General features: G+C 39.6%; 1 protein-coding gene across 2 annotated transcripts in view, besides 5 other annotated features; it reads left to right on the forward strand.

Moving 5' to 3' along the window:
• Window positions 5,766–5,955: a silencer, noted in NCBI's record as "silent region_16269". NCBI's record gives its function as "represses an Ori minimal core promoter by ATAC-STARR-seq in GM12878 lymphoblastoid cells {active_cell/tissue: GM12878}" and the evidence as "EXISTENCE:reporter gene assay evidence [ECO:0000049][PMID:35858748]".
• SNX2 (sorting nexin 2) overlaps window positions 5,878–15,036 on the forward strand; it is a 59,548-nt gene continuing 50,389 nt past the window's right edge. The window contains exon 1 of one of the 2 annotated variants that reach the window (NM_001278199.1): window positions 5,878–6,644. Coding sequence is in view for 1 of the 2 variants with exons in the window: in NM_003100.4 (NP_003091.2) it covers window positions 5,986–6,093 (108 nt within the window). In the remaining variant the exon portion in view is untranslated. The remainder of the gene's footprint in view (window positions 6,645–15,036) is intronic. The other variant, NM_003100.4, reaches the window with a different exon arrangement.
• Window positions 6,116–6,245: an enhancer, noted in NCBI's record as "active region_22998". NCBI's record gives its function as "activates an Ori minimal core promoter by ATAC-STARR-seq in GM12878 lymphoblastoid cells {active_cell/tissue: GM12878}" and the evidence as "EXISTENCE:reporter gene assay evidence [ECO:0000049][PMID:35858748]".
• Window positions 6,336–6,385: an enhancer, noted in NCBI's record as "active region_22999". NCBI's record gives its function as "activates an Ori minimal core promoter by ATAC-STARR-seq in GM12878 lymphoblastoid cells {active_cell/tissue: GM12878}" and the evidence as "EXISTENCE:reporter gene assay evidence [ECO:0000049][PMID:35858748]".
• Window positions 6,416–6,465: an enhancer, noted in NCBI's record as "active region_23000". NCBI's record gives its function as "activates an Ori minimal core promoter by ATAC-STARR-seq in GM12878 lymphoblastoid cells {active_cell/tissue: GM12878}" and the evidence as "EXISTENCE:reporter gene assay evidence [ECO:0000049][PMID:35858748]".
• Window positions 6,516–6,635: an enhancer, noted in NCBI's record as "active region_23001". NCBI's record gives its function as "activates an Ori minimal core promoter by ATAC-STARR-seq in GM12878 lymphoblastoid cells {active_cell/tissue: GM12878}" and the evidence as "EXISTENCE:reporter gene assay evidence [ECO:0000049][PMID:35858748]".

The raw sequence follows: 15,036 nt of genomic DNA on the forward strand, positions 1-15,036 counted from the left end.
TGCTGTTGAAGGGTCAAATGTGTAAACATTTCACAGTTCTTAGTAATGTCACTGATTAAGGGTTGGCCCACACTTTTATAGTAATAGGAATTTATTTGTTTGCATTTATGGCCTGTGAAGAAAAACAACAACAACATTATACTTGGCCATCTATCTCCCTCCTTCCCTCTCTCCATCCCTCCCTCCCTTCATCCAGCCCTCTTTTCTTCTTGCCCTCTCTTCCTCCCTTCCTTTCACCTTTCCTTCTCTCCTTTGCTTTCTTTCAATCAATTGTGAAGACTTTCATTATTTTCTAATAAGAATCTTAAAACATTTTCACTTAATGATAACCAATCATACTTATTTAAGCAATCAAATGATTATTTTTCCCAATACCATTGCAAAGATCATAATAAATTCTTATTTGTTCAAGGCTGCCATCCTATATGTAACCTCACTCACCAGGAGCTATATTCAAAGATAAGGCCCCTCCCTTCACTTTCTATATATTTTCTAATTTTTCACAGAAAGTTCCCTCAACCCTTCTGCCTTGAGTAATAGGTCACTCTGTCCCCTAAATACAGCTTGTGTTGGGTTCCAAATATCACTTTTATACCGTCACTTTTTTTTCTTAAGAGATGGAGTCTTGCTGTTTTGCCTAGACTGAAGTGCAGCGGCACAATCATAGCTTATTGCAGCCTCAATCTCCTGGACTCAAGGGATCCTCCTGCCTTAGCCTCCCAAGTAGCTGGGACTAGAGGTGCGTGCCACCACACCTGGCTAATCCATCAATACTCTTGAAAAAAAATCCTCCTTCTTTGAAATATATGACACCTGCTATCCCTCCTTGTCATTGGAAACCACATATTTCTGGTCACTCCTACTGAGGCTTCAAAATCCTTAGTTCCCTTGTTCTCCACCAAGATCATCCTTAAAAAGCCTAACATTGAATCAGTCCAATTATCCACCTCCACTCCTACACTAACATTGCTAGGCTACTGGAGAAAATCTATAAATGCAGAGATTATTTCTATCATACTGTCTCCACCTCATTTGGGCTTTCAATACTACTTGTCAATCCCTTATATGTCCCTAGCAAATGTTCTCTCCAATTCTACGCACAATCTACTGAAAACGCTCTTCCTCATGCCACTTATGCTGACATTAATTTCTTTTCTCTTACTAATTAACTTCCCCCCTACCCCCCAAAAATACTGCTTTTGGGTATTGACTTTTTCCATTTCTTACCCCTATATTTACAAACAAGTCTATAAATACATCCACTGAGGTACACTGATTGCATTCATTGCCCCAATTAACCACCTCCCTTTTCCACACCCTTTGCCCTACAATTTTGTAGTCCCTTCCCATTCTGATCCTGTGCTTGCCCCTGTAACTTCCTTTTGTGGAGGCTTGAAGAAGTGCTTGCCTATTTCTGCCTTCTGTTTGGAGCTCTGCTAGGACCTTGAACAGAAGCCCAAGCCAACCTGCTGGAGGATGAGAGCACATCGAACAGAGCTGAATTGTCCTAGCCAAGACCGTCCTAGTCCAGCCAGTCTCAGCCAATCTATCAGCTGACCACAGAGCATGAACAAGCCTGAAGATAAGAGTTGCCAAATCTGGTTCAGTAGAACTGCCTACTTAATCTGCAGACTCATGAGAAATAATAAGTAGTGGTTGTTTTCAACCACTACATTTTGGGATGGTTAGTTATGTAACAATGGCTGACTAACACAAACTCTCACCTCCATTTCTCCGCTCTCAGAGGAAGAAGAATCCTTTCTCCTTTTTAAGACAAATTTATCTACTTGCCCTTTATCCCATTCCTGCATTTCAGATCTCATCCTTTTGATTATCTCTCTCTATATTGCATTTTCAACCTCTTGCTCCCTTTTGACCTCTTTCCCTTATATATTAATATAAGCAAGTTCAAATCTTTCCCATTAAAATAAAACAAACATACAAAAATAAACCTGTGTCTTCCACAAGTTATTGACCTATTCTGTCATTCTTTTCATTTATATTCCTTGAAATGATAATAATTTATACTAGTGCATTAGTTAGGGTTCTCCAGAGAAACAGCACCAACAGGATGTATATATTTATAGAGAGAGATTTATTTTAAGCAATCGGTTTATGCAATTGTGGAGGCTCAGTGAATTTAAAATCTGATGATGTAGGCTAGCAGGCTAGAGACTCAGAGAAAAGTTACAATTGGAGTCCACAGGCAGTCTGCCGGCAGAATTTTTTTCTTGCTCAGAGGAGGCCAGTCTTTGTTCTACTATGGCCTTCAATTAATTAGATGAGACCCAGCCACATGATGGAGGGTAATCTGTTTTACTCAAAGTTTTCCAATTTCAATGTTAATCTTATCCAAAAAACATCTTCACAGAAACAAACACTATAATGTTTGACCAAATATCTGGGCACCATAGTACAGCCAAGCTGACATAAAATTAACCATCACAACTTTCTACACCCTTTTTTTTTTATTTCCATTAACCATTCACCTTTTCAGTTATCATCTTATTAATCTACCCAAGGTATGTGATACCACAAATGCTTTCTTCTTTGTCCTTTTACTTTCTTTACAGCCCTCTCTCATAGATTGCTTCCTATCTCTCTGACTGCTGCTCTTCAGGTTTATTTATGATCTTTCTCCTTCCTTCCTTCCTTGCTTCTTACCTTCCTTCCTTCTTTCTCTGTCTTTTTTTTTTTTTTTTGAGACAGGGTCTCTCTGTGTTACCCAGCCTGGTCTCAAACTCCTGGATTCAAGGGATCCTCCTGCTTCAGCCTCTCAAGTACCTGAGATTACAGGTCTACAACTGTAAATCATCCTTAGGGTTGTGATTCCCAGACTACCTGGGCCTTCTCATGTAACAGTGGCTCCAGCTACCAAATCTATATCTTCCACTTAGCTCGCTCTTCTGAGCTTCATTTCATTCATTCTTTCATTGAGGGTGTTAATAGGGTGTCTATCTTAATGAATGCAATGCACTATGGGGCCTTGTGGCAACTTTTAAAATGTCCCCCCAAAACCCTGCCTCCTGTTATTCACACTCTTGTTTTACTCCTTCCTTTGAGTGTGGGCTTCCAATGAATAGAATACAGCTAAAGTAAAGAGATGTTACTTATGAGATTAGGTTACAAAAACACTCTGGCTTCTTTTCTTATTAACTCCCTCTTACCCTCTCTTAGAGCTGTCTCCTTCTGTCTTTCTCAAAGGTCTTTGCTCTGGGAGAAGCAAGCTGACATGTTGTGTAGGAAGCCTTACGAAGAGGCTTATATGGCAAGGAACTCAGGTTTCAGGCCAATAGCCAGAAATAACTTGAGGCCTGCCACCAGCTATGCTAGTGAGCTTGCTAGTGAGAGGAAGCAGGTCCTCTCCAGTTGAGTCTTGAGATGACTGCCTACCTGGTCAATACCTTGATTGCAGCCTTCTGAGAGACCCTGAGTCAGGGGCACCCAGTTAAGTTGTATAACTAATGAGCTGGTCAAAGGGATGTGGACGTAAGTGGTGTGTGCAACTTCTGGAATGTGCCCTTAAAAGGAAGGTAACATCATGTTTCCCTTTGACTCCTTTTCTGCTGGCTGGAATGCAGTGTAATTGTTGTGGTGAGCTGACTTGAACTGTGAGGATTCTTGATCCACAAAAACCATGAGAAAATAAATATTTATGGTTACAAGCTGCTATGTGTTTATGTAATTTGTTTTACTGCAATAAATAACTTATACAGGGCTGGCTACTCAGGATCCATCCTCAAATAATGAATGCTCCCTGACATCAACGATCCTTCAGTCCATTGGGGTGATAGAACAGTGTCTGTGACCACAGCACAACATGGTAGGTGTTAAAATATACACAACAACTGGTGGGAGCACAAAGAGAAGATAATTTCAATCGTACTTGAAAGTGAAGTGATTCACTCAGTGATTTTATTTTGTCATTGAATGAGGAGGCTAAATCATTTGATGAAAATGAAGAGAAAAAGATGGTGGTATACTTGAGGAGAAAATGACTTTTTAGCACCTATGCTGGGAAGAATAGTTGAAGGAATTGGAAACGAAACAACTAATGATATTTAGGCAGTGTAGAACTCAGAATTGGAAATAATGGACTTATAGGATCTTCAATCTGAGGTTGGGATTCATTATGCAAATACTTTAGCAATCTGGATATAAGATTAGAGAAATTGATGGCTGAATTTGGGATTTCAGAGAAGATGAAACAGAAAATCAAGGAACCAAGGAAGAAGATGAGCTGAGAAAAATAGCAAGACAATTATTGCAGTTCTGGCTCATAGAGTTTAGGCTGACTAAGGAAAGAAAGACAATCAAAGCTTCTGAGAGTTTAGGGAAAAGGCACTTGATTCTGATCCCCCACAAATCACTGAGACTAAGGAGTTGATGCTGTATTTGGTTTAAACCTAGGTGATGTATTCCCTCCCTGAGGTGGAGAAAACTCACAGCTGAGAAGAAAGTTCAGGTATGCTACCATGAAAACCATGAATGCACTAGCAGAGACCACTAGTTCCCTACTTTCTTCTAGGGTAAGTGAACCCCTAATTTTTAGCGGTAGAAATAACAACTTCATTTCCTAATGTCTTCTGTAGCTAGACATGGCCATGTAGCTAACGAGCTGGTCAAAGGAATGTGGACAAAAGTGGTGTGTGCAACTTCTGAACTGTGCCCTTAAAAGGAAGGTGACATTATTGTTTTCCTTTCACTCTTTTTCTGCTGGCTGGAATGTGATGTAACTGCGGTGGTGAGCTGACTTGAACCATGAGGAAGAGACTACATCCTAGGGAGGGCAGAACAACAGAAGGGGCCCATGTCCCTGAATGATCTCATAGAACCTTCACACCAGCCCTAGTCCTACATAAGGGACAATTAATTAAACTTGTTCATTTTTCAAACCACTTTTAATGTGGGTCTCTGTAACAAGCATCAGGACCTATATTTCACCTATTTCAGGTGTCCACTAAAAAAGATAAGCTGGGAATATATATGACCATAGCATAAGACAGAAAGTAGTAAGCAATAAATAGAGACACATGTAAAAATTAAGGATGTGTATAATAATCACCTCAAGTCAAGCTGGGAGCTTTCATAAGAGGTTGAAGTTTTTGATCCATGACAGACTCCAGACTTTCCATAAGGTGGTGGATTTGCAGGCCAGGGAATGTGACTATGTGCTCTTAAGAATCATCCATTGATTTTCCTATCATTTTTCTAGACCTTTTGACTTATTGAGAAAAGAATTATGTGGCTTATGATAAAATTGGAGTGAATCGCAGACGAGAAATTATTCAGAGTCCTTTCGTTATCTAGAGCTGCAATCACTAAATAGGTAACCACTGGCCACATGTGGCTAATTAGATTTAAATTAATTAAAATTAAATAAAATTTTAAAACTCAGTTCCACACACCGGCCACATTTCAAGTGTTCAGGGGTCACAGGTTGCCAGTAGCTACTGTATTGGACAGCACAGATAGGGAACATTTCCATCATGTCAGAAAATTCTATTGGACAGTTCTAGAGAGATCTAAGAGACAGTACGTGTCTCTCGCTCACCAATACTCCATCTCGCCTCAGCCTGCGTGCAATCCAAGCCCAGAGACTGGTGCCCAGGCTCTACCACTTCCTACAGAAGATTTAAAAACTGGTAGTGCCAACAGAAATTATTTAGCCTAGTCCCGCCAAGAAGGTGATGTGGTAATAAAGTCCAAGATTCTGCCACATAAGTCGGGTCAGCAAGTCGGTGGCGAAAAGAGGGCCACGTCCCAGACTTTCTGGGAGGAGGCGGGACAAAGGGGCGGGGCGAGCGCAGCGCCCTCCGGGTGGGCGCCGTCAAGAGGCCGGGGGCGGGGCCGAGCGCGGCTGGGCGGGGCCTTGAGAGGCCGGCCGGGGGCGGGGAGGCTGGCGGGTCGGCGCGGGCCCAGCCGTGCGTGCTCACGTGACGGGTCCGCGAGGCCCAGCTCGCGCAGTCGTTCGGGTGAGCGAAGATGGCGGCCGAGAGGGAACCTCCTCCGCTGGGGGACGGGAAGCCCACCGACTTTGAGGATCTGGAGGACGGAGAGGACCTGTTCACCAGCACTGTCTCCACCCTAGAGGTGAGACCGCGTCGCTGCGGGTGCTGCGCTGCGTAGCTGCCGCGCGTCTCACCTTTCCCCTGCCCCGACTTGTCCCTCCCCATCCCCCGTGTTTGCAAGGACCGTCTTGGGGTGACACCTGTGACGCGAGCCCCACCTCCGGTGCCTGTCAGAGGGATGTGCTTGGGCTGAGCGCAGGGCCTCCTCAGGAGAGCAGCCTGCGGCCCGCGGGTGCCGACCTAATCCTCAGAGGGGCCAGAACCGAACCGAGCATTGCAGCGGCGCTTTCCCAGCTCAGCTGGCCTTCCTCGGTGTCTCTTGCACGTCCTCCTCTTCAAGCCGGAGAAGGGCTTGCTCTGCATCCCAGTAAACCTCCACCGAGCTCTTTTGAAGGGGTGCTCGCTTTTCCTTTCCAGAGGGAGGGTGTGCCGCTGCCAGGGGAGCGCAATGAAGTGAGCGCTGAGGGGCCGAGGGTCTGTGGGGAACGAATGGGTGCACTTTCCCAGGAATGGCCCTTCACGGACTGCTGGTTCCTCTTGAGGGAGCTGCTTCTGATTTGGACTGTTAAATAGGTAAATGCATTTGCCTCTTTTTGTTTGTCTTTAGTTCCTAGACTTTTAAAAGGTCATAGTATTTATAAAATGTAAAGCTGAAGGCAGGATTAGTCCAGGAAACTGCTGTTGTGTGTGTGTGTGTTTTCGAAGTTACCAAGGGAGAAATAGAAACAGATCTCCACTCCTTTTTCCTCTTTTCTCGCTTGATCAGCGATCTCTGAAGCTGTGTGTTCCTGTTTTTGTCAAAGGAAGCACCCTCTATAAACTTAACTGTATTGGGCCCTCCTTATATCCAGTTCCATTTGAATTGCTTTGCGTTTGATGAGAGCACCCACACCTCACAGCCTAATTTTAAGTGTGTGTATGTGAATTAAAATGTATGAAATTTCCCAGAGGATTGTTTACTGTGGGCTATACTTGCTTTTAAAGTATTTTCAATAAGCTTTCTTGGCTTGTTTAACTCTGCACCAAATCAATTGGAAATTACTGTAAAATATCCATTATCTGAAATTCAGTTACCTGAAACTGGAAACCCGGAAACAGTTTTCAGCACTGATCACATTCTGCTAATTGTATATGCAGTGTCCCACCCAAACCCCACCTCCCCTCAGGTTATAGGTTTTCTGCAGCTTAGTGTTAATTTCCTGATCATCTTTGTGTCTCTCACAAAATCTTGAACATGTGTATTTATTAGGTTGGTGCAAAAGTAATTGTGGTTTTTGCCATCCCTTTTAATAGCCAAAAGCCGCAATTACTTTTGCACAAACCTAATAGTAAATGTTTGCCTGAGTTAAAACCAGCACCTCCTAAAATTAATAAAAATTATCTTGCAGAATATATTTTCGGGGATTAGTATCCTTTTAGCCCTTTCTACTTACTATACAGCTACTTTAACATGTACATGTGTTGAAAGTGTCTGCAGGATCCTAAGACCTGTATTCCTTTTGGAGGATACAGTTTTTCTACCAGCGAGAATCAGAACAAACTTGATTGACCCTAGTGTGAACTAGAATACTGTGAAGGCTAAGCATTCTGTTGGGGGTCGTTTAGAGTTGAGTAGAAAGAACTATAATCTGTATTTCCCATGTGAATAAAACTTTAAAAAACAGAGTGTTACAACCTTTTTTCAGTAAGTCTGCAAAGTTTGATCATGAATAATTTATCTTGGTTAACGCACTGTAAAAGTTGTAAACACATTTGTTTTTGATTATTCATCTCAGCACCTTATTTAATGTACTCATTTAGGTTACTAATTTTCAGAAGGTGGTGTGGCTATGAGATTTGTAAAGTCAGATTTTTTTTTTCTTTTTAAATTTGGGAAGGATATATAGCAGTATTTCCTAGTATACCAAAACTGCTTTAAAGGAATGTTCTTTCAGTACTTCACTTTTCTTTTAAACAGTGCTTCTCAAACTGTGGTGTGCTGGAGTATCCACAGTATTCATCTTTAAAATGCAGATGCCTGTGCCTCACTGGAAACTTCATGTTTAATAAGTGTTCTAGATCCGTGTTTTGCAATCTTTGTAAATAGGGATCTTGTTGAAGTGCAAATTCGGATTCTGTAGGACTGGGTAGAACCCAGTATTCTGCATTTTTAACACGCTTTCCTGATATCAGTGCTTCTGGTCCATAGACAACATTGAGTTGCAAGGCCCTACGTGATTCTGATATAGATCATCAGGCTTGAATAGTTATTACCTAAGAAAATATATACTACTTAAACCATAAAATCAAAAGTCAGTCATATAAATTAATGTCTTTTAACTTAAAGTAAGTCAGAGTTTATTATATTATTCATATAGGAACTTTTTCATTTAAGAGCATTTAATTTGCAGGGGGATCAATTGAAATTTAAGTGAAAATCAAATTATAGAAAGCTTCAATGGCATAATTGTTAAGCTTGTAATGCCTATGCATTACTATATCTGTACACTTATGTGTATATTTTTACTTTTATTATTTTTAATTGACACATAATGTACATACTTATGGAGTACAGTGTGATGTTTCAGTACCTGTGTACAATGTGTAATGATCAAATCAGGATAATTAGCTTATCCATTACCTCAAACGTTTATCAGTTCTTTGTGTTGGAACATTCAAAATCTGCTCATCTAGCCCTTTGAAAATATACAATAAATTGTTAATTTTAGTCAATGTATGGTGTTCTAGAACACTAGAATTTATTCCTCCTATTTGGCTGTAATATTGTATGTTAACCCATTTTTGACTATTGGCCTCTTCCCAGACTCTTGTAATCACTAGTCTACTTTCTACTTCTGTTAGATGAACTTTTTTAACTTTTACATATGAGTAGGAACATGCAGTATTTGTCTTTCTGTGCCTGGCTTATTTTACTTAACATAATGTCCTCCAAGCTCATCCATGTTGTTGCAAATGACAGGATTTCATTCCTTTTTATAGTTGAATAGTATTCCATCATGCATATATACCACATGCTCTTGATTCATTCATCTGTTGGTGGATATCTAGATTGCTTCCAAATCTTGTCTATTGTGAATAGTGCTGCAGTAAACATGGGGGCACAGATATCGCCAACATATTTATTTCCTTTCCTTTGGATATTTACCCAGTAGTGGGATTGCTGAATCATCCGGTAGTTGTATTTTCAGTTTTCTGAGTAAACTCCATACTGTTTTCCATAATGGCTATACTAATTACGTTCCCATCAGCAGCAGTGTATAAGATAACTCCTTTCTCCACATCTTTGCTAGCATTTGTTATTTTTTGACTTTTTATTTATTTTTGTTTTTATTTTTTTGAGACAGAGTCTCGCTCTGTCACCCAGGGTGGAGTGCAGTGGTTTGATCTTGGCTCACTGCAGTCTCCACCTCCCAGGTTCAAGCAGTTCTCCTGCCTCAGCCTCCTGAGTAGCTGGGACTACAGGCGTGCACCACCATGCCCTATTTTTTGACTTTTTAATAGCTATTCTGACTGCAGTCAGATAATATCTTATTGTGGTTTTGATTTGCATTTCCTTGATGATTAGTGATGTTGAGAATTTTTTTCTTATGTGTATATTTTTTAACCCAATATTAAACTCCTCCCCTTTCAAAATTAATAACAGCCACATAAAGCTATATCAGTAAATAAAACATTTCAAACTCCTACTGTATGTTTCTTTTGTGACTGTGAAACAAAAAAGGGATGGAGACAGAGAAGGGAATGAGAAGGGAAAAAAATCTGGCAAAAGCCTGTTCTTCTATGGTACCTGAGAGGCAAGGCTTTAACTTGTTTATGAATACTGTTTTATTCCTTAAATGGTGCAACCCTAAGCTTAATGGTGCTTGACCTTTAAATACAGTTTTGCATGGAGTAGTAGATAGTACGTTTTAAAAAAAAGGTCAGGAATTTATATTAACTACCTGGTTCTTTTTTAAAAACATCTGTGTTGAGATATGATTTATATATCATATAATTTACCCATTTAGTATGTACAATTTAATGGTTTCTAGTGTATTCACAGATATGCCCAACATCACCTCAGTTTTAGAGCGTTTTCATCACCTCAGAAAGATACCCTGTACCCTTTAGCTATCATCCCACGCCTTAATTCCCTCATCCCCTCTGCCCTCAACTGTAAGCAACCACTAATCTACTTTCTGTCTCTAGATTTCCCTATTCTAGACTTTATATGAATGGATCGTATAATACATGGTCTTTTGTGACGGGCTTTTTTCCTTTAGTACAATGGTTTCTAGGTCTGTAGCACGTATCAATACTTCATTCCTTTTTATGACCAAATAATATTCTATAGTATGGCTGTACCACAGTTTGTTTAACCATTTGTTGATGGACATTTAGGTGGTTATGAATATGACCATGAGTATTCAGCTATTGTGAATAATGCCGTTAACATTCGTGTACAAGTGGAATTGCTGGGTTATGTGGTAACTCCATGTTTAATCATTTGAAGAGTTGCCAGACTGGTTTCCCAAAATGGGATGAGTTGGAGGCACTTTTTTAAAAAATTATTTTATTTTTTCAAGTTCTGGGGTACATGTGGAGGATTCGCAGGTTTGTTAATAGGTAAATGTGTGCCATGGTGGTTTGCTGCTCCTATCAACCCATCACCTAGGTATTAAGCCCAGCATGCATTAGGTCTTTTCCCTAATGCTCTCCTGTCCTCCCCTTACAGGCCCCAGTTTGTGTTGTTTCAAGTTGGAGGCACTTTAAACAGTCTGAGGTTAAAGGCCTAAAGAAAGAAAGTGCAAATAATAAAGGAGAAAAGAGAACTTATGTAATAACAGATTAAAAGATAATATTCAGAAGTCTTATAATGCCTCCCTTCAGATGATTCTTAGGGGAGGGAATAATAAGTTTATTTCACTTGAGGTTATGTTATATCAGTGAAGATAGCATTAGGCAGCTAGGACTGCTGGATGGGCTAGAGATGTAGCTTTGGGAGTCTATCTTAAACTTATTGAAAACACTAAACCGGGATCTTTGTGGAAATCTAGTCTTCCTCTAGTGGAGTGTATGAACCAACAGAAGTCAATATAATAAATACAATCGTGTGAATAAATACCTGCCATACCAGGTGATATATGTGTAATTAAAAATCTGCACAAGGTACAGAAACAGGTGATATATGTGTAATTAAAATAGAAATAGTATAGAAGACTGGGGTGACTTGATTGCATAGAGATGATCTTTGAGGCCCTGAAAGTGGTTGAGAATTATCAAGAGAAAGTAGAATAAGACAGGAGACACTTTTGATAAAGAGGAACTGCGAGCAAGTTTAGTATCTGCTGTTCTAACATAACAGGTAATAAAAGTATATATAACTTGTTTTCTTTTCTTTTCTTTTCTTTTTTTTTTTTTGAGACAGAGTCTTGCGCTGTCCCAGGCTGGAGTGCAGTGGCGCAACCTCAGCTCACTGCAGCCTCTGCCTCCCAGGTTCAAGCGATTCTCCTGCCTCAGCCTTCCACGTAGCTGGGATTACAGGTGCACGCCACCATGCCCGGCTAATTTTTGTATTTTTAGTGGAGACGAGGTTTCACCATGTTGACCAAGCAGGTCTCGAACTCCTGACCTTGTGATCTGTCCACCTCGGCCCCCTAGAGTGCTGGGATTACAGGCCTGAGCCACCACGCACAGCCTTGTTTTCTTAATTCTGTTTTCTAATCCTTGGGCCTCCAACTTTAAATGTGTGAATTTTTTGAAAATTTCATTACGAATTATCTATGTTTCAGAGGGAAAAATTTGTGAACAGGTATTTAAATGCATTAAGCATGGAAAATTAGTAGAAAGAGATTTATGAAGAAGCGTGATTCAAGTTGACCACTTTCTCTTGAAACCATTAAATTTAAGGAGTTTTGAATGAATTATTTTTAGATCCTATAAAAATAAGTTATTTTATGAAGTTGCTTGCGACAGGGATGCTCAGCTTTTCTTGAAGAGATTTTCTTAGCCTCTTCCCAGCCTCTGGCAACCACTGATCTGTTTTCTGCCTAAAGTTTTGTCTTTTCTAGAATGTCATATAGGTGGAATCATAGATTATGAAACTTTTAGAGTTTGACTTTCTTTAACTTAACATAAAGCATTTGAGAGTCATTAAGTTTGTTCTATGTATCAATTGTTAATGACTTGTTTATTATTGATTTAGTATTCCATTGTTTGTATGTAACAGTTTGTTGATCAGCTGAAGGACATTTCAGTTGTTTCCAGTTTGGGGTATTTATGAATAAAGCAATATAAACATGTATTTACAGGCTTTTGTGTGAGCATGAGTTTTCAGTTTTGCAGCGTACATACCTACAAAGTAGGGTGGCTGGGTTGTGTGGTAAATATAAGCTTAATTTTAAATAAACTGCCAAACTATTTTCAAAAGTGGCTGTACCATTTTGCATTGCATCAATAATGACTAAGAATGACAGTTTTTCCATATCCTTGTCAGCACTTGTTATTATCAATTTTAATTTTAGGCAGTGGTGAGCTGAAGGCTGGTCTTGCTAGCAAGAACTGTATGTTACATTTTTAGGAATTTTATGAACTAGTTAATAAACAGCCATTATTAAAAATTAAATGCAATGAATTTAAAATTAAATATATACCTATGTAAAGATTATACATAATTTTATAAAATTTTTATTAATGTTATAAATATGTAAAAATAATAAATATATAAAGCTCCTTGCTTTCTAATTCCTTTACTACATTTCACTATTACCTATGCTCTTGAGATTAATTATGTCTGTTGTGTCTGTATGGTGGAAGGTACGTGTCTTCGCAACTCTACCACAGAAATCAGCAAAAGCTAAAAATCTGGATCTTCTCCTCTGCAGATCTGATTGCTAAACATTTACCAGCACAACACTGATTTTTAGCCATTCTAAGAGGTGTTTAGTGTTACCTCATCCCTTTAATATATATTCACTAATGCCTAATGTTGCTGAGTATCTTTTTATGTACATACCATCTGAATATTATCTTTTTTGGTTATGTGTCCTTTTACATCTTTTGCTTATTTTTTTATTTTATTTTATTTGAGACAGAGTCTTGCTCTGTTGCCCAGGCTTGGAGTGCGGTGGTGTGATCTCGGTTCACTGCAACCTCCACCTCCCGGGTTCAAAAGATTCTCCTGCCTCGGCCTCCTGAATAGCTGGGATTACAGGCACCTACCCCCACGCCCAGCTAATTTTTGTATTTTTAGTAGAGACAAGGTTTCACCATGTTATCCAGGTTGTTCTCGAACTCCTAACCTCAGGCAGTTCGCCCTTCTCAGCCTCCCAAAGTGCTGAGATTACAGGCGTGAGCCATCACGCCCGGCCTATTTTATTTTATTTGAGATGGAGTCTCACTCTGCTGCCCAGGCTAGAGAGCAGTTGGCACAATCTCTGCTCACTGCAACCTCCACCTCCCCAGTTCAAGCGATTCTCCTGCCTCAGCCTCCCTAGTAGCTGGGATTACAGGTGCCCACCACCATGCCCAGCTAATTTTTGTATTTTTAGTAGAGATAGGGTTTCGCCATGTTAGCCAGGCTGGTCTTGAACTCCTGACCTGAAGTGATCTGCCTGCCTTGGCCTCCCAAAGTGTTGGGATTACAGGCGTGAGCTATTGCACCTGACCTGTTTTGCTCATTTAAAATATTGAATTTTGAGAATTATTTATGTTGTGAATATTTTTTTTCCCAGTCGGTGACTTGTGTTTTTTGTTTTGTTTCTTTGTTTTTGTTTTTTGTTTTTGTTGAGATGGAGTCTCGCTCTGTCACTAGGTTGGAGTGCAGTGGCGTGATCTCGGCTCACTGCAACCTCCACCTCCCCAGTTCAAGCGATTCTCCTGCCTCAACCTCCTGAATAGCTGGGACTACACACACGTGCCACCATGCCCAGCTAATTTTTTTTTTTTTTTGTATTTTTAGCAGAGACAAGGTTTCATAATGTTAGCCAGGATGGTCTCGATCTCTTGACCTCGTGATCCACCCATCTCGGCCTCCCAGACTGCTGGGATTATAGGCGTGAGCCACCGCGCCTGCCCAGTGACTTGTTTTTTTGTTTGATTAACCGTATCTTTCTCAGAGCAGATGTTTAACATTAACATTTAAAGGAAAGCTATCTTTTCTTTTTTTATTGATAGTATTTTAGATGTCACATATATGAAATCCTTTGCTAACTTTAACCCATGGTCACAAAGATTTTGCTTATAGTTTCTTCCAAAAGAATTTGGAATTTTACATTGTACATTTAGGATTCATGTTGAGTTAATTTTTGTGTGAGATATGGGTTGACATTCTTTTTTTAAAATACAGATACTTAGTTATTCCAGCACCATTTGTTGAAAGTCTAGCCTTTCTTTATTGGGCTGTCTTTTTCAGAAATGAACTGACCATATATATGTGGGTTGACCTATTTCTGTTTTGTTTCATTGATCTATTGAGAATCCTTTCCCAGTCTACACTGTCTTGATTATTTAATCTGAATCTTGAAATCAAGTCGAATGACTCCTCTAACTTTGTTATTTTAAAAATTGCCTTGGCTATTCTAGTTCTTTTGCTTTTTCTTATAATTTTAGAATCAATTTGTTGATTTCTACTGAAAAATCCTGCTGAGATTTTAATTGGGATTGTGTTGAATTCAGAAATTAGTTTCAGGAGAATTAACCCATTAACAATATTGAGCCTTCAAGCTATAAGCATAATCTCTCTATTTATTTAGTTAGATCTTGATTTTCTTTCACTAATGTTTGTAGCTTTCAGCATACAGATCTAGCACATATTTTGTTATGTGCTAGATCTGTATGCTGAGTATTTCATAGTTTTTAGTGCTTTTATTTCTTTTATTACTTTTTATATTTCCCCTTTGGTTGCATGTTGACCCTGTATGATAGCAACTGTTCTAAACACTTACTAGGTTTAGTAGGTTTTTGTAGAGTCCGATGATTTTCTGTG

Source organism: Homo sapiens, chromosome 5 (genome assembly GCF_000001405.40).
Source record: "Homo sapiens chromosome 5, GRCh38.p14 Primary Assembly".
Lineage (NCBI taxonomy): Eukaryota > Metazoa > Chordata > Mammalia > Primates > Hominidae > Homo > Homo sapiens.